The sequence below is a fragment of the Homo sapiens genome, chromosome 2, assembly GCF_000001405.40.
Source record: "Homo sapiens chromosome 2, GRCh38.p14 Primary Assembly".
In the NCBI taxonomy this organism is placed as follows: Eukaryota; Metazoa; Chordata; class Mammalia; order Primates; family Hominidae; genus Homo; species Homo sapiens.
The window spans coordinates 95,574,663-95,600,532 of record NC_000002.12 but is presented as its reverse complement, the minus strand read 5'-3'; the positions used below and the strand labels follow the sequence as shown (position 1 = coordinate 95,600,532).

Genomic DNA, 25,870 nt, shown 5'->3' with positions numbered 1-25,870 from the left:
TCAATGGACTCACTATAAACTGGGTTTTCATCAGAACTGGGTTTTGTTTGTTTCACTTTTTGTTTTGGTTTAATTTAGTTAGTTTGTTTATTTATTTATTTATTTATTTTTACCTGATACTAATATGTTTCCAATGTAACATGAGGTGTTGGTTATGTCTGGTCTCTAGGTTGTCAATGAGAATTCACAGTCTGTGTGAATTGGAAATATAAACACATTTTAAAGCAGACAGTCTGCACATCTATTATTCCCTGGATGATGCTGTTTGCTTTATTAAACAGCTGCAGAATTCAATGTGGGTTAAACCCTTTTGGTTCTTGCTCAGACATCGCTAGCAAATTCTCAGAAAAGCAATAGGCTGTACCATTAGCCTATGTCTGTAGATGAATATACTATCTAGGTTTTTGTAGTGTGTTCTGATGTTCACACAATGATGAAATCGCCTAATAATGCATTTCTCAGAATGTATTTTGTTGCCATAGGATGCATGACTGTTAAATTCCTGTTCTAGCCCAAAGATTCAGTGACAACTTCTGTGTGAAATAAATTTTTCCCCCCAAAGGGATGAGGTGTAGAATTTACTGTATTAATAGGAGGGAACTCTCACACTTACAAGTGCATTGTACAAAACCCCGTCTGCCCATGATGTACAAAAGTTGTTCCTGAATGAGATCATTAAGTTGGAATCACACACCCACATATTTCCAGAATTCCATCCAATAAATTCACAAACACTTGAAAATCACAATACGTATTTTAGGTAATGGTCCATAAGAGATTATTTTAATTGTAAGAAAATGTACAAAAAGTTTTGCCTTTTACAAATTTTTTATTTAATAGCAATAAAATGAAGTGACACTAAAGTACAAAAAAGCCTGAACAGTATGATTTCTTTGTATCAACAGTGAAGGGCTCCCTTGTATATGGAGTTCCCAAACAGTAAGTTTTCTTAATCCTGATCATCTGTGGCCAGTGTAAAAGAAAGGCCTGACAGGAAAAGTTAAGGAGCCAGCTGGGTAACTCCATATGAGGGAACTCTTGGTGACATTCAAAAAACTCACACTTCCACTTTCAAAATCAAGAAACACACCAACCCGGCCCAGAGGTTTCTCTATGTAGTGAGGAAACACTGGGGAGGTGGTCAAGAGATTGAAATGATTATCCACCTTCAGACACAAAAGAAGAAATATGTCCTCAGAGTTAACCATTGTGCTATTCTTCCTTATCCAGGAGTTGTTACAGACTCCCAGAGCCCAGTCACAAGAGTTGTCCACATCCAGCTCCCAGTAGTGTTTCCCAAAGGAGAAGACCCTGGCTCCCCATGCAGCAAAATAGTCAGATCTGTCAGAATTCAAAGGTCCACGTCTAAACATCCAACTTCTCACATCCTCAAAGAGCCTGATATTGTGATTGGTTACTTCAAAATGGAAGGAAATTTCCACTGTAGAAAAAAGAGAATGTTCCAGTGAAAATCAGTTTGTAAATTCTTATGTTCAGATAAGAAAGAGATTCTCACTAGAAAACACAGGTCAAGATTAGAAAGAAACTTCTGTCTGGAAAAATGTTGGAATCAAAGGGTGTTAGGAGATCTGCACAAGTAAATGGCTAAACTAGGATGATCACAATTTCCATAAACTCAAAAAGTATAAAGGGGAGGAAGGTCATGTCTATGTCTCGTTAGCGACCTTTCATAACAACTGAAAAACTGGAAGCTCCTCCACTGCAGCCAAGTCCATAGCCATAAAATTAACCTTCATTGTCTCGTCTCTGTCAGGGCAGAGCAGGAGGCTTTGGACAGGAGATGAGGTGGGGAGCTATTCTTAGTCCCAAATAAAAAAGTTATCACTTTCCAGAAATATTATGATCTGCCACTTAACCTAGCAAATTCATACTTAAAGAGAAAACCTGAATCTGCCTTCTGAAAAGTGCTGATTCCTTGCAAAAATTATCTGACTTTCATGCCAGATTCAGGCACAGACTTCTTTTATTCTGCTGGATTTGTCATGATCTATCCTGGAGTTCTATCTAAGACCTCATCAACCACCAAATCATGTTCCTATTGTTGACAGATTCTCAGTTTTTGCATTGTTATATAAGTTACTCATGTATGCTTTAGTTGATTAAAAACATGATTAAAATTATAAATGCTATGAAACATCACCTAAAAATGTATTTTTTTTAAAAAAACGCTGTCACTCAAATCAGTCGTTAACTGCACTGAATTTGAAATTGAAATGTCCTGAATTCAGTTCTGTATACTTCATGTAATAATTGTATACATGAAATTGTATCAGAGAATGGTTCCTAAAGTCCTAAAGAGCCCTTCTGCATGTTTTATTTTTCTAAGAAATTTGTTATATGGCTGATTCCTATTACATTTCACCAGCTTTTATTTCGTTTTGTCTGTTTGATGATAGTGAAACTATAAATATAAATACCTATTCACAGGCTATTCTCTTCTTCTAGATGAAAGATCATTACACTGGGAAAGCTGCCCATAGAAAACCATAATTGAAGGCATTGCATGTGGATCCCACCAACAGGGCCACACTCACCTCGGAAGCGGTTGAGCCTGTACACCAGTCCAGTGATGGGTCCTGCAGTGAGCTCTGGATTCACAGGCTGGGGCATGTGCAGCAGCACGGACTCACTCCTGCAAGGAAGTAGGTTGAGTTGGTTAACTTTCTGATGTCTGTGTTTAAGAAACAGATTCCAACAGAAAATGCTTCATTCAAACCCACTTCTGATACCGTAATGTACCTCCACAACGCTAGGATGGGTTTGTGGCTCTTAGGGAATCTTTCTAACTATTCACTCCATTTCTAACCTACTGCCCCTGAAAGATAAATGCCTCTCTCCCTATCTGCCACCAAATAGTTTATCTCTAATTATGATTCTGAATCGCAAAAAGAGGCAACTGTATTCTAGCAACCTCTGCATTGCACTCTTCAAAACATAAACCCCTGAGTCACTTGGGAAAGTAAGAAAAGATTAATGTCTGATAAAAGGCATAGATGACATTCATCATACCACATAAACACATGACTACACACACATACACACACAATCACACTGACACATTATGGTGTTAGTAAATTATGTTTTCACTTTGTTGGAAACAGCTTGATGTTTTTCATAGCATGCCTTGTGCTCCAGTTTGCACTGACGGCCAAAAACATACCTTGCCACGATGTCTCCCAAATCCTGTAGAGAGAGAGAGAAAAAAAAAATGACTTCTTTAGAAAGTTGTTATTCTTGTTGGGTGAGGTGGTTCACACCTGTAATCCCAGCACTTTGGGAGGCCAAGGTGGGTGGAACACCTGAGGTCAGGAGTTCCAGACTAGCCTGGACAACATGGCAAATCCCCGTCTCTACTAAAAATACACACACACACACAAATAGTGGGGTGTGGTGGTTCATGCCTTTAGTCCCAGCTACTAGGGAGGCTGAGGCAGGAGAATTGCTTGAACCAAGGAGGCAGAAGTTGCAGTGAGCTGAGATTGGGCCATTGGACTTCAGTCTGGGTGACAGAAGAAGACTCTGTCTCAAAATAAACACACAAAAAAGTTGCTATTCTGCCTATCTGGTCTTTAGGTTTTCAAAACTTTAGAATTACCGTATACTATTACTGCCACTCTTTTAAAATGTATTCTCATCTCTAACAATTATACCAGTAAGACCTATTGACAATATGGATTTCTGATAAATTAAGGACCCTAAATTTGAGTGAGAGAGAAAGGTGTGAGTAGTGACTGCGCATTGCTGCAGCTGTCTACAATGTGGTCTTTTTCAGGGCTAGTCCCCAAAGTGTAATGTGGCTCAAATCAAGCATGAAATTTTTTCTTCCAGAGTTTTAATGAAATGTGCTGGAGGAGGAAGCTTGTGGTAGAAAATGTTGTATGGAAATCTAGTTGCACAATTCCATAAAGCTTTATTTCCATGATTAGCGTAGGAGTTATAGTTTATCTCTATAACCGGTGGGAATGACTCTCACCGTCAGTACAGGAGATGAGGAAATAATGTCTTTGGTACCCAATGGAAGGCAAAGATGTAAAGGTCAGCTAACACAAAGTGTCTCAAGGGGCATCCTCCATTCTTACCTGGAGCAGCTCCACATCTGGTTTATGACACATTTCCATTAGTTCCTGATACATTTCTTTCAAGTGTTTACTCTTTTGATCCATTTTGACCCAACTTCTCTGGAGTTGCTGAAAAATCTCTTGGTATTCCTTGTTCAGTCTCTCTAAATGTTGTTTTTCTTCCTTATGGAGAACCGGATGCAGCTTCCTATACTCATTCCTGATCATCTGTGCCCGTAAAACCACATTGCCCTGTAGGGATATGAATTTTGTAGGTTATATACCCAGGCCTACTTCCACCTCACAGAGCCTACAACTTCATCCTCCTCATTCCTTCTTTTATTTTCCATCCTTTACAAACAGGATGATGAGTTAAGCAAGACCTTCCTTCAAAATTTATGTAATTCATCAATTCCCAAACACCTGCAAAAAAGCCCTTTAGGTTTAAATGTTTAAATCAAATCGGAAATACAATTAGAAAACAACTAAAATTTATGATTGTTACATTGTCATGGATAATACACATAATCTTTGTTATTCACTTAGGTTGTTGTTTCAAATCTCTGTACTTCACAGCCTGAACAATCACTCTTAGTAGAAATGTTTTTAGTATATTATAATCAGGATCAGAAGCCATCACACAAAAAGGATCTTAGTAAAAAATTTAACCCCCATCTCTCAAACTGACTACCTCTTTTCTGTCTCCTATCTTTCTTCTGTCAAATCCATAGACTCTGTATTGCACTGCCATTCTAAGAACATTAATCCCCATTCCATTGTGTTTCTCCTCTCAATAATGACATATTTATCCTCTCACTGCCCCAGTCATTTTTTATCCCTTCTCCTCAGCTTTTCCTCATGTTGCATTTTCTCCTACTCGGACTGGCATCATGTGGGTCCTTTGCTATCAGATTTCACCAGCACAGGCACATTTCTTAAATTACTGTTCCCACCCGATTTCTTCCCCCTGGACAATATCATATTCACCAATAAATGCCTTTATTTCTCAATTATATACTATTTAATCAACATTTCATAATTAATTTTATACAGAAAACTCTGTCTGAAATACTTATTAATTTTAAGCACATACTTGCCCTTCAGAATTTATATTTATTTTTTACTTATCTGAAAAGCATTTACAGAAAACCTGAACAATCGTTATGTTGAACAGTCTGGTTGTTTTCCAGCCTATGAATAAACACATGACAAAATCTGGCATAAGAATTTCAACTCAAGTTGCTAATATAAATGTTGTCAGCATGCCTGTCTCAAGCTGGTCAGGAGGACTCACGGTCTCATACTTACCCTCCAGAGGAAGGCTGTTCTTCCCTCCTCATATAGATTTCTCTGATTTTCTTGAATCTTTTTCCATAAAATCCTCATTTGCTTTAAGAGTTTCTCCTGCAAAAGAATTACAAGGTTGAACAACAGAAAGTCAAATGCCAAAGATTCCACAATCTGAGTGGTATACACAGGCAAGGGATAATATATAAATACATTAGTGAGAGGAGAAAAAAACAAAATTTTTCATTGCTCATCCTTAATTGATATTTTTCAGTTTGAGGTTTCAGAATGTAGAACAGCTTAGGGAACTGAAGAGTGAAGATTTCCTGTAACCCAGCTAAATTAGTTCAGGGAAACATCCTGCTTCAGAACCCACTATGCTAGCCCCTGATTTTGTAGTGTGCTACTCCCATACTCATTTGTCCAGTAATATTAAATATATTTCCAAAATACCTTTCTTTGCACTGGTAGTTTTGGTAGCTTTTCAATGTCATTAGCATTGAACTGTAGAGTCAATAATAATGACATTTACTTAATCAGTCTCTTTTTGGGTGCAAGCTCCATGAAGGAAGGTAGAGTTGCACATTTTATTCAAAATGTCATCATTGGTACCTAGAACAGCACCTGGCACTCAGTAAAGAATGGAGTAATCACCATGATTCTCATCATCCTTCTAATATCTTTAACTCTGCCACCCTCCAGCTTTCAGGTGATCACAGAGCTATCTCTTACCCGGTGTTCCTCAGCTGCCTCTTCGATGGGATGGTGTTTGTGAGCCCCGTGCTCCTGAGAGTTGGAGCACAGCAAGCAGAGGAGACTCTTGTCCATGTCACAGAACATCTTCTTTGTTTGCCTATGGGTCCCACATATTTGTTTCTCAGAGCTCAGGAATTGCCAGAGACTGGCTTTTCTGGCAATGGTCACTAAATTCTTCAGAAGAATATTGGTTTTGAAGTCCATTTTCGGTGATGGTTCCCTGCATGCAGGGCAGTTTGCAGGACTTTGGGCTTCCTCCCACGAAAGGCAGAGACAGGGCCTACAGAAGCTGTGCCCACAGCAGATGGTGACAGGGTCTACCAGGTAGTTCAAACAGATGACGCAGGTGAGTTCCTTCTGGAAGGCATGTGAGAAGTCTGAGTCCATTTTCCTAAGGAAAGAAAACCACAGGAATTTAATCTTCTACCCTGGAGAGACAAAGATCCAAGCAAAGTTTGAATCAGATCGTGATCGAATAATATCCTTTCTTTCTAAAGAAGTATAGGCTTTAATCTGCAATGACAGAAATAGGAAAAACAGAAAACTAAGGCACAAAGAGACATCAACCTCTATAAAAAGTGACTGTTCTCCAATCAACACATGACCAGCTTTCCAAACTCTACTTTCTTGCATGGAAGAATGTCGGATTTTTTGAGGTGTTAGTATCCACCAAATTGCTTGGGCTTCAAGGGTTTCATCAACCTGTAAACTCAAGGTTTGAGTCTTGAATGGTCTGAAAATCAGTAACACTCTTAATTGCCAGTGATTGGTTTAAAGAAGGAAAGCTAACTAAGCTCTTCTACTCTCATTATTTTATTTAACTATAACAACCATCCATAATGACTTTTCCAGAAGGACATTGCTTGAAAATGTTAGAGCAGAACTCATACTTTGACCCAAATCAGAAAAAGCTAGCCTTTACTCTCCAAGGAAAAACAGTCAAATCAAGGTAAGGCACCTCTCCAAGGTAAAGCTAAGAATCATTGTTTTTCTAGGCTACTATGTTAATTTAATCAACAAAAACTTTCTGGCATGTTTACTGTTCCTGGACAGTCTGTTAATTTGGGGATATACTAGTTAATATTACAACATCCTTAAAAGACAATTAATTCAATTTACAAAAAGATAATGATAATTGAAGCATTATCATTACTCTTTCACACAGTCAGGAAAAGAGTAAGTATCATGCAATAACAGGCACTAGAGGCCGGGCACGGTGGCTCACGCCTGTAATCCGAGCACTTTGGGAGGCCGAGGTGGCTGAGGCAGGCAGATCACGATGTCACGAGCTCAAGACCATCCTGGCTAACATGGTGAATCCCTAACTCTACTAAAAAATACAAAAAATTAGCCGGGAGTGGTGGAGGACGCCTGTAGTCCCAGCTACTCTGGAGGCGGAGGCTGGAGAATGGCGTGAACCCGGCAGGCGGAGCTTGCAGTGAGCCGAGATAGTGCCACAGCACTCCAGTCTGGGTAACAGAGCAAGACTCTGTCTCCCCTCTAAAAAAAAAAAACAAAAACTAGGCACTAGACAGTAAGTCAGCGTTTTAAATGTATGTTTTGCTAAAATACAAATAAAAATAAAAACCAAGCCAGGGAAGGTGACTCAAGCCTGTAATCCCAGCATTTTGGGAGGCCGTCAGGCAGGTTTTTTGAGCTCAGGAACTCTAGACTGGTGACACGGCAAAGTGTCTAGATCATCCTGTCTCTAAAAATACTTATATAAATTTAAAAAAAAAAGGCCGGGCGCGGTGGCTCAGGCCTGTAATCCCAACACTTTCAGAGGCGGAGGTGAACGGATCACAAGATCAAGAGATGGAGACCATCCTGGCCAACATAGTGAAATCCCGTCTCTACTAAAAAAAAATACAAAAATTAGCTGGGCGTGGTGGCAGGCGGCTATATTTCCAGCTACTCTGGAGGCCGAGGCTGAAGAATCGTTTGAACCTGGAAGGCGGAGGTTGCAGTGAGCCAAGAGCGCCGCTGCACTCCAGCCTGGCAATAGAGCGTGATTCCATCTCAAAATAAATAAATAAACAAATAAATAAATAGCTGAACATGGTGGCCCATGTTTAATCCATAAACCTATGGATTATGTTTAAAATAATTTTAAAAAAGAAATGGAGCCGTTTTTAAAACTCAGAAAATGAGATCATTTCATCTAAAAATAATCTAAGTTTGCAGATAAATTAAAGTCCCCAAATTTTGTTTTGGTTTGTAGCTCCTAATAGTAGCTCCTACTCTGGAAATTGTGTACTTACCTCAGAAATATATCTATGTTCTCACCAAAGCTTGCCGTCGAATCAGATGAATTCAGCTCAGGGATGAGAGTCTCACAGTGCAGTGCTGGTAGCTTTCGGAAGTCCCCAAAGCCAGTTGCAAAGCTACTCTGTGGGCTCTGGAGAAGAATGAGCTTGGCTCCTGAAGTGTCGGTTTATAAATCTCTGAAGACCACACCCCTTTCTTCCAATTGATTGCATTTCACAGGGCGTAGGTGGGTGTTAACATAGATGATTAAGTTTCTTCAGAACAGAAGTTTTATCTTTATTTATTTATTTTTTTTGAAAGGAGTCTGGCTCTGTCGCTGGCTAGTTTTTTTCTTGCATTTTTAGTAGAGAGGGGGTTTGATATAATTGATATAATAGGAATTGCAAATAGAGAAGCCCACACAAGCTAACCAAATTAATTCTAGTTTATTGGATAAATGGTATGATATGTATTCTAGTTCAAATTTGAAGGTTGGTATAAACCTTTTCAGACACTGGAGATGAGACATTTCACCAAGATTGGGTGTAAGGAAGAGGAAAGAAATAGAATAGTATATAAAATAGTATATAGAGTAAAAATACAGTAAAAGGAAAAATCAATCTGCATAATATGGTGTATGGCTAAATGTTTTTTAATATTTAGGCGAATCAGACATGGAAAAATCCTAAAAGGGAGATTAATAGAGGAGATAGTTGACTCAGTAAGAACTGTGAAGAAGCATCTCAGGAAGAGAAACTAGAAGTCTTTATATAGGTTTTGATTTAAAGAGGGAGAGAGAATAGGAACATTGAAAAAGAAGGACAGAAAGAAATAACAAATATTCAAGACTCCTTGCAAGAGTGAGGCAGAAAGTTTATAGATTGCTTGATTACACCCAGCATATAATTATTTGAAGTTTTCTGTTGAGAGTGAGAGTATGTAATCCTTTTAACCAAATGTCTCCGCAGAACTATGTGTCATTAAGTAAGGTGATAATCAATATTCAATATCAAAAGATGCATCTATTTCTCGATGAGGAGAAGCAACTTCATCTGCAGGCACTGGACAGCGAAGCCAAATAGCTTTTCCAACAACTACAAGACAGTCAAGTGAGAATGACCCAACATTTAGAAAGGATGAAAGACATGTACAGAGAGCTGTGGGAGACGTGCCTCATGCCTGACGTGGAGCTGCTCCAGGTGAGGAGGGAGGGTCCATCCCCAAAGAAAGGAAGACTTTGCTGGACAATGCTGCCAGGACATGCGAATGTCACCTGCATATGTCACTGCTCTCAGCTTAGTGACACATGCTGTCTGACTCCCACATTACATTTGTCCAGTTTTTCAGAAAAAAGCTACAAAAGAAGCTTATTAGAGGGGAATATTCCCTGTGGTCAGTGTTTGATAAAGGGGAATATAAAATTACATCCACTCAAAGATTCCAAAAAAGCTTGCTTGTTCATGGTTAGGATAAGAATTACATTTCACCTATGTTATTTCTATTTGGAAAAGTTCCTCCCTCTTAGAAGCAGGAGATACATATATGATATATATGGTACATATATGTATGTATACACACATATACATATATATATACCCCCCACACACACACATATCTATGGTGTTGAATAAATAATATCACCTAAGCCAGGGGTGTGCAATCTTTTGGCTTCCCTGGGCCTCATTAGAAATAGAATTGTCTTGGGCCACACATGAAATACACTAAGATTAACTATAGCTGATGAGCTTTAATAAAATGACAAACAAAAATCTCTTCATGTTTCAAGAAAGGTTAGGAATTTGTGTTGGGCCACATTCAAAGCCGTCCTTGGCCGCACGGACCGTGGGTTGGGCAAGCTTGTTGTAAGGTATGAACTTCAAATACTACAAAATTTTTTTAGGCATATTATTGGTTCTTTCCTGGAGCAGCTCCATATCTAGTTTATGGCACATTTTTATCAGCTCCTTATAGATTTTTCTTAGGTGTTTTTTTTTTCTGAACCATTTTGTCTTTTTGCTTTTCTTAAGTTGCTGTAAAATCTTTCTGTCATCATGGTTGTAAGTTTCTCTAAGTGTTGTTTTACTTCTCATGGGGAACTGAATGCAGCTTCCTCTACTCAGCTGTAGTCATCTCTGCCCATAGCTACACATAGCACTGCAGGGACCTAGATTTCCTAGATGACATATTTACTCTGAATTCATCCTCCTCCACTTATACCTCTTCTATTCACTTTGACTCATTTCCTTTTCTTTATCTCTTTCATCTTTTCTGTATAATAAAGATCAGGGTCTCACTATGTTGATGGCCAGGCTGGTTTGAAACTCCTGGTCTCAAGTGGTCTTCCCAAAGTATTGGGATTACAGACATGAACCACTGAGCCTAGCCTGACTCATGTATTCTACCAATAAGCTAAGTACATAAACTCGTGTCTTCCCACTTGACAGAACCATGAAATAGATCATTCCTGTCTTCCTTTCATTTATTTGTATTGTTTCTTAATAATACTGAAAGCCAAATTCATTCGTTCCTCAAACCACTTTCATTCATTATATGACTTCCTAAAACACCTGAAGAAAGGTTATTATTGATCGTTTCTTCAATATATATCCATTGATATCTGAAAGCCTACATGAGAGCCATTGGAATTTATGGTTGATTCACAAATAATTTTTTGCAGTGTTATGATCTCTGTGTTTTTAAATTAGTTTTTAGTACCAGGTCTTCCTACTCCATAGCTTGACCACTCTCCCTGAGCATTAATCAATGCTGCATTGTACCCTCAGGATTGGAAGCCATGAGAAAAATCTTCCTCAAATCTACCAAGATGATTTCCATTCAAGTGATAAGTGGATACATTTCTAGCATGTCTGTCTGAGGCTAACTCTGAGGGAAAAGGCCTAATACTTGCAATCCACTGGTTGGTTTTCCTGCTTTCCTCATTTAAATTTCTTTGGTTTTCTTGAATTTTTGCCCACAAACATCTCATTTGCTTCATAATCTTCTCCTGTAAAAGAACTATGAATGTGAACATCAGAGAAGCAAATCATTTTAGGTTTCAGACCCCCAGTGATAAAGAAATCAAGGGATGAGATATGAAAGAGATTTGGGAAGATCTCGGACTGTAGAACCACAACGTGTAACGCAGCAAGTTTAATAGGAAAATCATAGGCAGGGCTAATTTACAGATAATGTGGCACCTTGCATCAGAATTGGAATCTACTGACACCGTGCCCTGCTAATTCTAACGTGTTTTATTCTATTATTTCCAGTGTTGGTAAATAGGTTTCTTATAGAAAAGACTTTTTAACTTGTAGTTTGGATAGCCAGAAACTCTTCTGATATTGAGCTCTTTACAGTGCCTTGAACACTGCATCAAGTAGTCAAATTATTACAATGATTATTAACTTCATCACTCCCTCAGTGAAATGTAAGCTCCAGGAAGGAAAGCACACTCAGATTATATTTATTATTTTATCATTGATACCTAGGCACTACACGACATCCAGTACAGAGCAGATTAATCATCATGCTCTTCATCTTCCCCTAATCTCTTTACCTGTGCCATCCTCCAGCTTTCAAAGTGCTCTCAGAGCCATCACTTACCCAGTGTTCCTTAGCTGCCCCTCACAGTGTGTGTGAACCCCATGCTCCTGAGAGTTCCAGCACAGCAAATGAATCAGGCTCTTTTTCCACCTCTCCAAATATCTTCTTTGTCTCCCTGTGGATCCCACGCATTTGTTCATTAGGGCTCAGGAATTGCCAGAGACTGGCTTTTCTGGCAACGGACACTAGATTCTTCAGAAGAATATTGGTTTTGAAGTCCTCCTGCTGTGACAGTTCCCAGCATGTGGGCAGCAGGTAGGAATTTTGGTTTCTTCCTAGGAAAGGCAGAGACAGGGCCTACAGAAGCTGGGGCTGCAGCCTGTGGCAATGGGGTCTACACATTAGTTCAGACAGAAGAGGCAGATGGATTCTTTCTTTCTGGAAGGCTTGTGTGATGTCTGAGACCAATTTCCTGAAGGAAGGAAATTAGGAAAGGTATGATTCAAACTTCTTCATCTTATGCCCTGAGAAACAAAGACCAAAGCAAAATTTGACTCAGGTTGTGACTCAATGATACACTTCTGTCTAGAGTAGAATAGGCTTTATTTTGCATAAGACAAAAATAGAACCTGAGGCACAAAGAGAGCTCTCAGATCTGTAGGTAAAATTGTCAGATGCATGCATAACTCACAGGGCACTACATCCTACCCTTTTCTTTTGTATAGAAAAATGAACCTCAGAGAGGCCAGAAATGGTGGCTCACACCTATAATCCCAGCACTTTGGGATGCCAAGGCTGGTAGATCAGGTTGGAGACCAGCCCGGCCAATATGGGGAAACCCCATCTCTACTAAAAATACAAAAACCAGCCATGAGTAGTGGCACACGCCTGTAATCCCAGTCACTCAGGGGACTGGGCAGAAGAATCGCTTGAACCCTGAGGTTGCAGTCAACTGAGATTGAGCCACTGCTCTTCAGCCTGGGCAATAAAACAATACCTGTCACAAAAAGAAAGAAAAAGAAGGAAGGAAGGAAGGAGAAAAGAAAAGAAAGAAAAGGAGAAAAGAAACCTCCATTTTGTTGAGTTTTGACTTTACTCCAAAAAGCTTGAGGTTTAAGAGTATGAAATTGGGACCAATTTACACCATAGATGATGGGTCCTGAATATTCTGAAAACCATTCTTAATGCTCATTGTGATTGGTTTAGGAAAGATCGATTTAGTACAAAAGAAAAAAGTGATTGGTTTAGGAAACTGTATTTCACTGAGATTTTACTCTCATTATTTCATTTTGATGTCATAATTTTCTCCTTTAAAGTATTTCGAAAATCCTCAATCACAAGCCACCACTGCAAAATAATTTCTAAATAAATAAGCAATATTTATTTACTGAACATTTGGTGAAATTTCATCAGATCAGATTTCACCCAAAATTTGATCAGATTTCACCCAAAAATGCTAAAGAGGCATTTAGTATATTCTAAAACACAATATTACCCTCAAATTATTCAACATATTACCTAAATTGTATATTATAGAATATTTTGTCTTGTGCATATATTTATGTGCCACCTTCAGAATTGAAGGTAATACATTTATACACAACATATGGAATAAAATATTCTCCATAAAATTTAGGATATACAAGTATAAAATTGCAAGATATCTGAAAACTATTTTCTGAGTTCTTAGAATACATAGGAACAACTAATGAATACATAAATGATACAAGTAAAATTAATCTTCACTGTAGTTCACAAGTATGTAGGAAGACAGGATAACAAAATAAGAGTAAAAACATTTTTACTAATTAAGCAAATGACATCATTTCATAGAAACAAGCTCAGTTTGTTGAAAAATTCAACGTAGGGCAGTCTGTTTTGGATTGGAAAACTAGCAGGAACTCCTCCTCTGTTAGCTGTGTTCTCACCCTAGAAATATACTTATGGTCTCACTGATACTTGCTGTAGAAGTAATAATATAAAGTCTGATCAGGGATCAGGGCCTCACCATATAGCGGTAGTAGCTTTCAGACATCTTCACAGCCAGTTCCAAAGCCACTCTGTGTGTCCCAGAGAAGAATGAGCTTGGCTCCTTGTACCTCTTTATATTGAATCTCTGAAAAATCACACTCATTTTGAAAAGGTTGTACATTTCTTGGAGTTTGGGATAGCCGTTAGGGTTCTTGATTAGATTTCACCAGAAGAGAGGAAATGATTGATTCGACACCTTGGCTAATCTCCATAAACACACTTTAAACTTCCTCTCATCAAGAACCACTGAGTTTACAACAAATGAACCCTCAAATACCAAATTTGTGGATAATTTTTGGAGTACTTGAATATTTTACTCATCAAAGGATGGGAAAGAGGATACCATCAATTTATGATTTTAATAAATGTCTTCAGAAGTCTGGAATATTTTTTCTCCTTTTTCTTTTTTTTTTCTTATGTTTTTGGAAATGTTTTGCCTGAAATTGGCTTTAATTCTAATAGTCACTGAACTAGACTGGAAATGCACTTTGCTGTTGCTTTTAAGACTTGATCTCTGGTTTTAATGTATTAATGTATTACTGTCAATTCATATATTATATATATATTTTCTGGCTCTGTAGCCCAGGCTGGAGTGTGGTGGTGGAATCACAGCTCACTGCAGCCTTAAACTGCTGGGCTCAAGTGATCGTTTTGCCTCATTATCTCAAAGAGCTGAAATTACCGATGTGAGCCACTGCACCCGGCCTATTAATTTATGTTTTTAATAAAAGCATAAGAATTATCCTTATTATAAATTAAGAAATAGAATATCTTTAAGAAAATATTTTTAAGGAAATATAATATCTTTAAGGAACAATGAAATCTCCAGTAGCTATAGACTCCTATGAAAACCACCGTTACCAATAGCAATTTTGTGTATGTCTATATAACACATACATATGTAAATATATATAACATATACATGAATTTTTTCACATTCGGCAGTCATTGAAGAATAAAAATTATAATTTATATTAATAAAAAGTGAAATAAGTAAAATTTGCTGTTTAGTGAAAACTTTGCTTAGCAACTTAAATGAAGCTGCAGAAAATGTGAACTGGATAATAGATGTAAAGAGATGTCATGAGGGCTTCACAGATGGACAAATAGAGGTAAACTAGGAGAGTAGTAGTGACATATGGAGGATGAGAGTATCACGTATGTCCTTTATAAACAGCATAATGTGTGATTGACTGTAGCACAAAGGGGAGCTAAGTAGAGAAGATGAGGAGAGTACATATTCAAGGATATAATGTTTGATAATTTTTTCAGAGTAAACAAATACATTATTGAATTCAGGAAGCCAAACAATCCCCATTTTGGATGTGTAAAACATAAATTTACTTTGTTTTGAATGTGCAAAACAATATATTTTGACTGATTTTTAGTATTTCTCTGTCTTTGGTGGCTGATTCATTATGATATTTTAAGTTTGAAACCACCACCAAAGATAAAGAATCTCTTAAAAGCAGCCAAAATAAACTGTTTCATTGTGAGGGAACACTTAATAGAATGACAACAGACTGCTCCACAATCATAAATCATAAATGTAAGTATAAGACGGTGGACTAATATTTGTAAAGTGTCAAAAATGTAACTGCCAATATGGAGATGAATGTGAATTGGAAATATCTTTTATATAAGAGGATAAAATGACTCTTGTCATATAAGTATAATAAAAAAGGGACTTTATATCCTACTAAGGGCTTCTAGAACAGTACGCATAAGATCTACTTGAAAGATAATTCCAACACCTCTGCCACATTGAATCTGGCTTTATTTATTGCTTAGTCTCTTAACAGTGTTTCCTTTATGTATCTTTTCTGTTTCTATACATGTCTGGTAAGTTTTACCCAAAAAGTGAACTATGTAGAGTAGACTAATGTAGAAATCAAAACCCACATGTGTTCCCTTTTACTAGGCTGTATGTGTGTGTTTTGGGGGAGGAGGTTGAATCAATCTAGTCAGGAGTTGATTTGGTTTTGGGACTTTTCCCTCTTAGAGTTATTTCCAGGGCACCATAAGTTTCACGCTCATCTAGCATTACTTTGTGTTTCAGGTTGGACTGGTTCAGCAGCATTTCTTAATATCTGCTGTATCCTCACATTTAAGTTTCCTTCCAAATTCTGTTCAGTCCCCCAGAAGACACTGCTTTGACCTGTTACTCAACAATTGTGAGCCTAGTTGGGGGTGGAGATGAGGATGGAGAAGCATTTTCTGTCACTCTGATGAAGCTCAGTCATAGGTTGACACTGTTTCTGGGTCTGCATGGTTGGAATCCTTTTTTTTTTTTTTTTTTTTTTTGACGGAGTCTCGCTCTGTTGCCCAGGCTGGAGTGCAGTGGCATGATCTCTGCTTACTGCAAGCTCCATCTCCCGGATTCACGCCATTCTCCTGTCTCAGCCTCCCAAGTTAGCTGGAACTACAGGCACCAGCCACCATGACCAGTTAATTTTTTTTTTTTTAATATTTTTAGTAGAGACTAAAGCCAAGATGGTCTCGATCTCCAGACCTGGTGATTCGCCCGCCTCAGCCTCCCAAAGTGCTGGGATTATAGGCGTCAGCCACCACGCCTGGCTGGAACCTTCTTAGTGATCCTGTCCCACCTTCAGATGTAGGTCTAAATCCTCCACATATTTTTTTTTCCTCTTTTTTCTTTTCCCGTTTCCAAAGTTCAATTAGTTTTACCAATGTCCCAAGGGCAATGACATTCCTTATCTTTTCCTTTGTAGTTTAAGATTGTGTTACACAGGAGAGATGAGGAGGTAATTACAGGTCTTTAAATGTAATATTCTGTGAATCTCTTCACAGACTGTAAAAAAATGTATGTGGCACATATACACCATGGAATAATATGCAGCCATGAAAAAGGATGAGTTCATATTTTTTTTGCAGGTACGTGGATAAAGCTGGAAGCCCTCATTCTCAGCAAACTAACACAAGAGCAGAAAATCAAACACTGCATGTTCTCACTCACAAGTGGGAGTTGAAAAATGAGAACACATGGATACAGGGAGGGGAATATCACACACCGGGGCCTGTCGGGGGGTGGGGAGCCAGGGGAGGGACAACATTAGGATAAATACCTAATGTAAATGACGGGTTGACAGGTGCAGCAAACCTCCATGGCACATGTATACCTATGTAAAAACCCTGCACATTCTGCTCATGTACCCCAGAACTTAAAGTATAATAACAAAAAAGCATGGTTTATGTCTTAATGTTGATTGATATTAACTTATCATAAAAGAAATTATATATTTACACATTTGAAAAATTAGGCATAAAATTGAATTTATCTATTTCAAACTTTTCTTACATGTTACAATATTAAACAATACATATATCATTCTCTTCTTCATGAAAAAACTCATAGTTTCTCTCCTTCATTGCAATGCTGCCTGGATCTTATCCTGGTTATTTTTACGTTTCCTAACCATTACCTTCCTAAAATATTATTCAACATTCTAACTTCTAATACTAATTAATGGAGTTTGCAATTTATATAAATAAAACACTGTAATATAACATTTGTGTGTTTCAATTCTTTTTCTTAAACTTCTTTCTTAAACTTGGGATTCATTAATTTGTTGCATTTTGGTGTTATTCTCTTTGTTTTATAGAATTATTTTGTATGATGAGATCACAATTTATTTAGCAATTCTACTGTCGATGAATATTTATTTTGTCTCCAATTTGGAGCTACTATGAAAATTGATGCAAAGATCAACATTATGTTTATCTCAAAATATACATAGGCAGTCAGTGGAATATATTTTAGAATTAGAGTATCTAGCCAATAAGGAATGCTCATAGTCAGTTTGCCAAAAAGTATTTCAGTTTATACCCCTCCAGTCATGAATAACTTTCATTGATTCTTTCTTTTTTTATATACTTTTAGTTTTAGGGTACATGACAACGTGCAGTTTTGTTACATATGTATACATGTGCCATGTTGGTGTGCTGCACCCATTAACTAGTCATTTAACATTAGGTATATCTCCTAATGCCATCCCTCCCCACTTCCCCACCCCACAACAGGCCCCGGTGTGTGATGTTCCCCTTCCTGTGTCCTTGTGTTCTCATTTTTCAATTTCCACCTATGAGTGAGAACATGTGGTGTTTGGTTTTTTTTCCCTTGTGATAGTTTGCTGAGAATGATGGTTTCCAGCTTCATCCATGTCCCTACAAAGGACATGAACTCATCCTTTTTTATGGCTGCATAGTATTCCATGGTGTATATGTGCCACATTCTGTTAATCCAGTCTATCATTGTTGGACATTTGGGTTGGTTCCAAGTCTTCGCTAGTGCGAATAGTGCCGCAATAAACATATGTGTGCATGTGTCTTTATAGCAGCATGATTTATAATCCTTTGGGTATATACCCAGTAATGGGATGGCTAAGTCAAATGATATTTCTAGTTCTAGATCCCTGAGGAATCGCCACACTGACTTCCACGATGGTTGAACTAGTTTACAGTCTCACCAACAGTGTAAAAGTGTTCCTATTTCTCCACATCCTCTCCAGCACCTGTTGTTTCCTGACTTTTTAATGATCGCCATTCTAACTGGCGTGAGATGGTATCTCATTGTGGTTTTGATTTGCGTTTCTCTGATGGCCAGTGATGATGAGCATTTTTTCATGTGTCTTTTGGCTGCATAAATGTCTTCTTTTGAGAAGCGTCTGTTCATATCCTTTGCCCACATGTTGATGGGGTTATTATGTGTATTTAAATTTTGCTAATTTTTATGAAGGCCTGTAGTTCAACTTGTGGATTAATTTTTATAATTCTGAGGACTAATAAAAGTAATCCCTTTTTCATATTTGGCCAGTTATTTATGCCTCCAATTTTATGAAGTGCCTGTTCAAATATTTTACCCAATTTTATATCGGGTTCATTTTCTTTTATTTATGACATTCATTAATCACATGTATTGCATTTTGTTTCATATAAGTTGAGATAAATATTTTTCTCCACTCTTGGTTTCCATTTTAATTCTTGGATGGTATATTTTGAAACACAGAAGTCATTATTTTTGATATAAACTAACTAAATTTTCCTTCTTAATTGTTACTTTTTTGTCCAGGTCAAGAAATCTTTCTCTATGAGAATATTTTATTATGTTCCCTTCACCTTCACAACATGAATCCATGTGGAAATGAACTCTGTATGGTTTGAGATAGGGGTCAGTATTCAGTCATTTCCATTTGAATATTTAATTGATCCAGCATTGTCCTGATCACCTTGTAAATTTCACTTTAGAACAGCACTCTTAATAATGCATGAGCATTTGTGTATAAGATGAGATTTACAAAGATAAGCACAGCATAGGAGGTCAAATAAGATTACCTCAAGGTATGGATTCAGAAATAAAACACATGAATAAGTATAATATTGTTAGATGAAGAGAAAGAAAATATTTCCAGGTTACCATTGAGTCTTTTTACTCCAAGTTTTTTGAAGAAGCACAAGATTCCTACTTTCTTCCGTTGATTTTATCTTCATTTAGACACCTCTGTCATCTCTGATTTCACTTTGTGACATTCAGAAATAATGAAAAACCAGAGAATATATTCTATGCCATCCATCATGGGTAATGATTTTCCAAAAATGATTAAACAAAGAACCAATACACATGGTTTTAGTTTTTTCACCATATTTAATAGAAACCGTATTAATGAGTTGTGATGACATTAGAAGGCAACTAAACACATTAAATATAACTTATTTGTCCTCTTTGATGAGGCACAAAAAGGAGGACTTCCTGCGATAAAGGGGTTTACACAGCATGTGGACACATTACCAATTTGTCTCTGGTCAGAGGTGACTACAGTGAAAGATAGGCCTGAGAAGAGGTGAGAAGGAGCAATTATGGATGGTGTATATAAGGGAACTTTGATCAACATCAACAATGCTCATGGTTCTACCTTCACAATCCAGGAATAATCCTCCTCGGCTGCTAGGCCTTGGAACATATAGCACCACATGTGGGGTGTGGTAAAGAGCCTGCAGTGAACGTCCTCCTTAACACATCCAAGAAGAAAGAGTCCCTCCTCTCCATCTATCTTGTCATTCTGTCTCTTCTCTTTCCAATAATTGTTACAGACACCAAAAGCCCAATTCCAAGAGTCCCCCACATGAACCTCCCAATAATATTTGCCAGATGTGAAAGTCTGAGCGCTCTACTCAGGAAAACATTCAGATGTTGCCATGATGCGGGGACCATCTTGAGGGTCACATCCAACATTCATGCTTCTTAAGTCTCCATACAGGAAGATATGACTATTGGCTCTTTCAGGATGCGGAGTAATATCAACTGCAAATTTTTTTAAAAAAAGTATGGACACGTGTAAATAATAAAAGTTAAAATTCTTGAGGGAAAAATTGTTCTACCAAGTATCTACTTTACCAAGGAATTTGAAGTTACAAGAACAGGATAATTTTGATTATAACATTTAATAAAGGACAAGGAAGATTAATACTCTCTACAGGAAAAACAAAACCCTAAAAACAGACATTGAAAATTTGGAAACTCAAAAATTGAGAGTCAAATATAAGACCAGCCTGTTTTAATCCAATTTCCAATGTGAAAGTGAGATATTATATGCCCTGACTGCCCTTTAGCTATCAAGGTCATTATTATTAAAATATTTCTTGTTCTTAAATACTAGTGATATAACTTTGGCAAGAATGGGAAGAGTTTCACTTACTCAAGCACTACTCTAGATAACTGGATAAAAGTCCATATGTCCAAATTATAAGTGATAACTTAAGGCAGATTTCTGCAAAATCTTTTACCGGTCACTCTGTGGACTTCCCTGCTAGCTCTAGACAGAAACTGAATTTTAGATTTTACACATAACTCTGCATGTTGTAACTAAACTGAAATTATCATTTCTATTTTTACATAGTATTAAGTCAAATTTTTACATTATATCAATAGTATATATTTATTGTAAGTAAATACAAATACTCCAACAAATTGTGGTGAACTCTATTTCCCAGATAACCGTTTTTAACAATTCAAATAAAATACTGTAAAGGAATGTACAATTTTTATGTAACATTGGATTATTAAACTTCCATCTCACCATTAGTACACTTACTCAATTTTTTATTTCTTATGTCATTCCTTTTACCCAATATATAACTCAATACATGTGAGCCCAGAACATAATTGTTTTTCACTATGTTTTACCCTTCAAGTTATAAACTGGAGTATAAATAGAAACACAGATATAAAAGGGTTGCATAGTCATATTGTTCACTTCCTTCTGAAATGAAAAACGGATTTGATGAAGGGTAAAATATTATGCTCATGATTCTAACAAGAAGTAATTCATTGTAGAAATTCTGCCAATGGGCTGACACTCACCTCTGAATCCATTGAGACTGTCCAGCAGTCCAGTGATGGGCCCTGCACTGAGCTCACAGGCTTGGGCACTTGCAGCAGCAGGGACTCACCCCTGCAAGGAGAAAGATGCAGTTACTACATCCACAGAAAAAGAAAGAACACACACACACATAAAAATCACTACATTTATTCAAAAGACATTTCATGAGAATCCCTTTAACCCACACATTCGCTAATTCCAAAATTATCATTTTGTTTTTCAAATTCATTATTATTCACAGTTCCTGATTTTCAGGCATGATGGAAAAGTCTATCTGAGTGAGAATTCAATCTGATCTTTCTTCTTATTGCTCCAAATTAGTAAGGATCATTAGTCTTAAGGCTAGGAGAATATTCAAAAGTGAAATTCTGGTTCCAGAACTCACCAGGCTTCCCTGAAATCACTGTCTGGGAAAGTGGGGTTATTTGAAGGCTGCTGTATTCGTTGCTTCCTTTTCAAGGCCAGGGTGTTGAAACTTGATCCAGGCAGGGGGATCTGCCTTTTATAGCTCAGGTTCTCTGGAGGCCTACACAGTTCTAACATTCTGACAGTTTGTTTCATCTGTTTTTCAGAATTATATATTTAAATATAAACAAGAAATCATCAACACTTTTCACTGCTAAGATACTTTCAAACACTTTTCTCTCTGGCTTCCCCTGGTTGGCTTTGTAGCCATGTAGAAAATGTAACATTTTCTCCTTCAAATATGCAGGCTGTTGAGCAACAAAAAGGAAATTAGGAATAGAGATGTTCACTTTCTTTATTCTTTCATTTATTTATTTTTTGTTTTTATGGTTTTGCAGAACTTTCATTGAACTGCCTAATAAAATAACTAAGTATGGTAACAAAATAGATGACTACATGGGGTGGGGGATGGATAAAGTACAACCAGGATAAAGTAGTATCAATAGCTGAATCAATTATGCCTTCAATATCAAAGTTCCTGCTTGATATTTGTGGAAACTGAACAAACATCTACTAAAATATTGGTACACTCTCACCTGTGTAATATGTCTCCAAAAGCCTATAAAAAGATAAAGGCTTAGTGTTTTCCACAAGATGCATCTTCCACTAAGTTCAGTGTGAGATTTGGAGGCAGTTTCTGAAGATATTATTTCCCTACCATTGTCCCTCCTGGAAAGCATTTTCTCTTCTTTTCTTGTGAAAATCCCAGTCTATCATATTGTCATGAATTGATGTTCTGATAAAGTCTAAGTTTTGAAGACATTCTCTTTATAAGTGAAGGGAGAGGAGGCCCACAGAGTCTACGCTCTGCTGTAACCATAGAAATGCTACTCAGTCATCTTCCCTAAGCCCTGTTGCCAAAATGAGTGGACCCCAAAATAATACTAGTGTGATCCTAGATTTTCCAACTTCTCCATCGTGCCATGCATCCAAATTAATCTAAATGCCAACGAATCACTTCTCATTTTATCTGCTTTCAAAAATCCTAAATATACCATTGACTTTTGATGGTAAATATTTTGGGGGGCTGTTACCTTGACCGTCCCACAAAGTTTTGTTGCTGGTGGATAAAGTAGGAGGGACCTTAGGTCTGGTAGAATTACTAGGAGAGGCTATACCCTCCCATCAAAGCAGCATTAGTTATAGAAATGTGTTTTTGGAAACAAATCATGGAAGTAAAGGGGGAGATGGATTTCAGGAGAGAGGAAAAACACCCATGCATGTGAATGTTCAACATCCCGATACCCCATGGTCAGTCTGTACCTGGAGTAGCTCCACATCTGCTTTATGGCACATTTTCTTCAGCTCCTAATACATTCCTCTTAAAATCTCCCTCGCATGTTCCATTCTGGCTTTGCTGTCATTGAGTTGCTGAAAAATGTCCTTGCCCTGCTTTTGCAGCCTGTCCAAGTGATGTTGCTCTTCTTCATGGAGAAATGCAGGCATCTTCTGATATTCAGCTCTGATTACTTCTATCCTTAAACTCACATAATCCTGCAGTGACAATTGGTCAAAATAGAAATGTTGTATCCATCTTCTTTTGAATTTCACTGATTCCTCTTAGCATCCTGAATATCCAATATTTTAGCCCTCAGTCTTGTCAGTTCTCAGATTCCACAAAATGTTATTCCTCTCCTTTTTTCTGCGTTAATAACAACATAGTTGTTTCAGTTATGTTTACTTGATTAATGATAAAATGTTTTCTAAGATAGTTATATAAAAATGGATTTCTCTCTTCCAACCCACATTTATACAAAGAAAACACAGTTTTTGCTTAAGAATTAAACTATTGAGCTATATTGACTAGATAGAAAACCATTATTTCTATTTTGGAGGATTGGGCCAAGTTATGTAAACCCATTATATGAGAAATGATGAAATGACCTCATACTAGCGTTGTCAGCTCAATGCATTTCACCCAGCATAACATAGTCTAATTGGTTTCATTTATTCTCTTCCAACCTCACCCTAATCTGCAGCATGGGCTGCTTTGTGGTTCCTCAACATCCCAAATAAATGCAAATGCAATATTACTGCACGTGCTGTTTTCTATACCTAGAATTCTTTTCATATATATATTTCTCATATATATACTCATATATATATTTCTCATATATATACTCATATATTCTTCATATATATGTATATATGGATATATATGAGGAATATATATGTGTATCTGTGTGATATGTGTATGTGTGTATTTCACATATCTGCATGATGGCCATTTGCTTCTCTCATTTCCATTGCAAGATTTGTATGTTTTCTTCCTTCTTTACTACTTAATTTTCTAAGTTGATATTTGACATAGACTAGGTACTTATAAAATATTTTCAATGAATTCATATTAGAATGAATTAATGAATTAATATTAGATATCATACCCTCAAGAGAAACATCTACAAAGAGAAAACATTTCTAGAATTCTTCTCAAGTCCTTAGAGTGCTCCTTATATTAAATACTAGTTGCCATATTTCTTGCATATTTATGTCTTCATCAAGACAAGTCTACCTTTCTCACTTTTCCCATTATGCATTATGATTTATTCAATATTAATTAGTTCAGATGCTTAATTTCATGCTTTCCCTAAATTTGCATTGTTGCTCCTTCTGTCTGAAATTTGATTCACATTTCAAATATACTTGCCCACCAGGATTCAAATTCATGCTGACTCAGCTTCAGAAGTTTCACCTAAAATTTCCATGACTGCCAAATAACTCTTGTGCCCAGGATTTATTCAGGCAGCCCATGGGGAGCAGTGTGAAATGGCCCAGTTTCTTGTGTTTGTTGGTGTATTGCTATAGGTTTGTATGGAAACAGATGAGCATGCTTGGGTAACATCTGTGGTTTGGTTAGAAATCCTATCAAAGAATCACAATATCTTACATAAAAAATAGGCTATTTTTTTCTCAACTGTTTTTTCCTTTTTTATTGAATTCCAGATACATTATGGGTTGAGATCAAGTTCCTATTTTAAGAGTCACCCATTTGCCCAGTGCAAGTTCCTAGAGAAGGTAGAGTATTACAAGGCTAACCTTCTAGCATCTGGTTCTGGTGGTTTTCATGTTCAGGTTTCTGTGATTTTCACAAGCTTTTCCCCATAAAGACTGCATTTTCTTTAGGAGCTTCTCCTGCAAAAGAGCCAGGAATTGGAGCACCAATGAAGACAATAAAGTATCATTCACACTCTGATATATGAAGGGGCCCAGAATGAGACACAAATCAGCCTATAGGAAATAGTGTTTCCTTTGTTTCTCTTCATGTTTGTCAAATCTGAGAGGGTTGAAGCCAAGGAAGCTCATAACAGAGATGTTTAAAGGGACACAGAGATGGCATCATCCAATCTCCAAGAAAATAGACCCACAGGAATTTCATGTGTCCTTTGGAGAAATAGATCTTCAGAGGCATCACTTACCCGGTGTTCCTCAGCAGCCCACTCAATGGGACAGTGTCTGTGATCCCGGTGCTCCTGAGAGCTGGAGCAGAGCAAACAGAGCAGACTCTTGTCCACTTCACAGAACATCTTCTTTGTCTCCCTGTGAGTGCCACACATTTGCTCTTCAGAGCTCAGGAATAGCCAGAGACTGGCTTTTCTGGCAAGGGAAGCCATCTTCTTCAGTCAAATGTTAGTTTTGAGGTTTCTCTGCTGTGTTGTCTTTATGCATTCAAAGCACTGAGTAACAACTGGGATGTCTTGCCAGTTGAGGTAGAAACAGGGCCTGCAAAAGCTGTGCCCACAGTCTATGGTGACTGGGTCTATGAAGTAGTTCATGCAGATGGGGCAGCTGAGTTCCCTCTGGAAGACTTGCGAGATTCCAGAATTCATGTTTCTGAAGAAGGAAGAGCAACATGTCATTTTGTGGTCTGGGTTGGTGAAAATCTATGTACATGTGGTGATATGTGATAGCTATATTTTCTTCTCGACAGTGCTGATTAAAGCAGAACAAACTATTTCCTCTGTAACAAAAATAAAAAAATTCATACACAAGGAGAGCCTTCAGGCTTTATAGCAGACATTACTGACTAGATGACTCACAACCCCTTCTATTCGTAGTTCCGGCCCA

General features: G+C 37.4%; 1 protein-coding gene and 1 pseudogene across 1 annotated transcript; both read right to left on the bottom strand.

Annotated features, from left to right (window-relative positions):
• Positions 1 to 754: 754 nt before the first annotated feature.
• On the bottom strand, positions 755 to 8,532 carry TRIM43 (tripartite motif containing 43). Its single transcript, NM_138800.3, has 7 exons — positions 8,384 to 8,532; positions 6,099 to 6,513; positions 5,388 to 5,483; positions 4,101 to 4,331; positions 3,182 to 3,204; positions 2,556 to 2,653; positions 755 to 1,441 (listed from the first exon to the last, which is right to left on the bottom strand). Exons 2-7 carry the CDS (start codon positions 6,507 to 6,509, stop codon positions 960 to 962), a joined length of 1,341 nt encoding a protein of 446 aa, NP_620155.1. The 5' UTR covers positions 6,510 to 6,513; positions 8,384 to 8,532; the 3' UTR covers positions 755 to 959.
• TRIM51JP (tripartite motif-containing 51J, pseudogene) lies at positions 19,586 to 25,642 on the bottom strand (annotated as a pseudogene).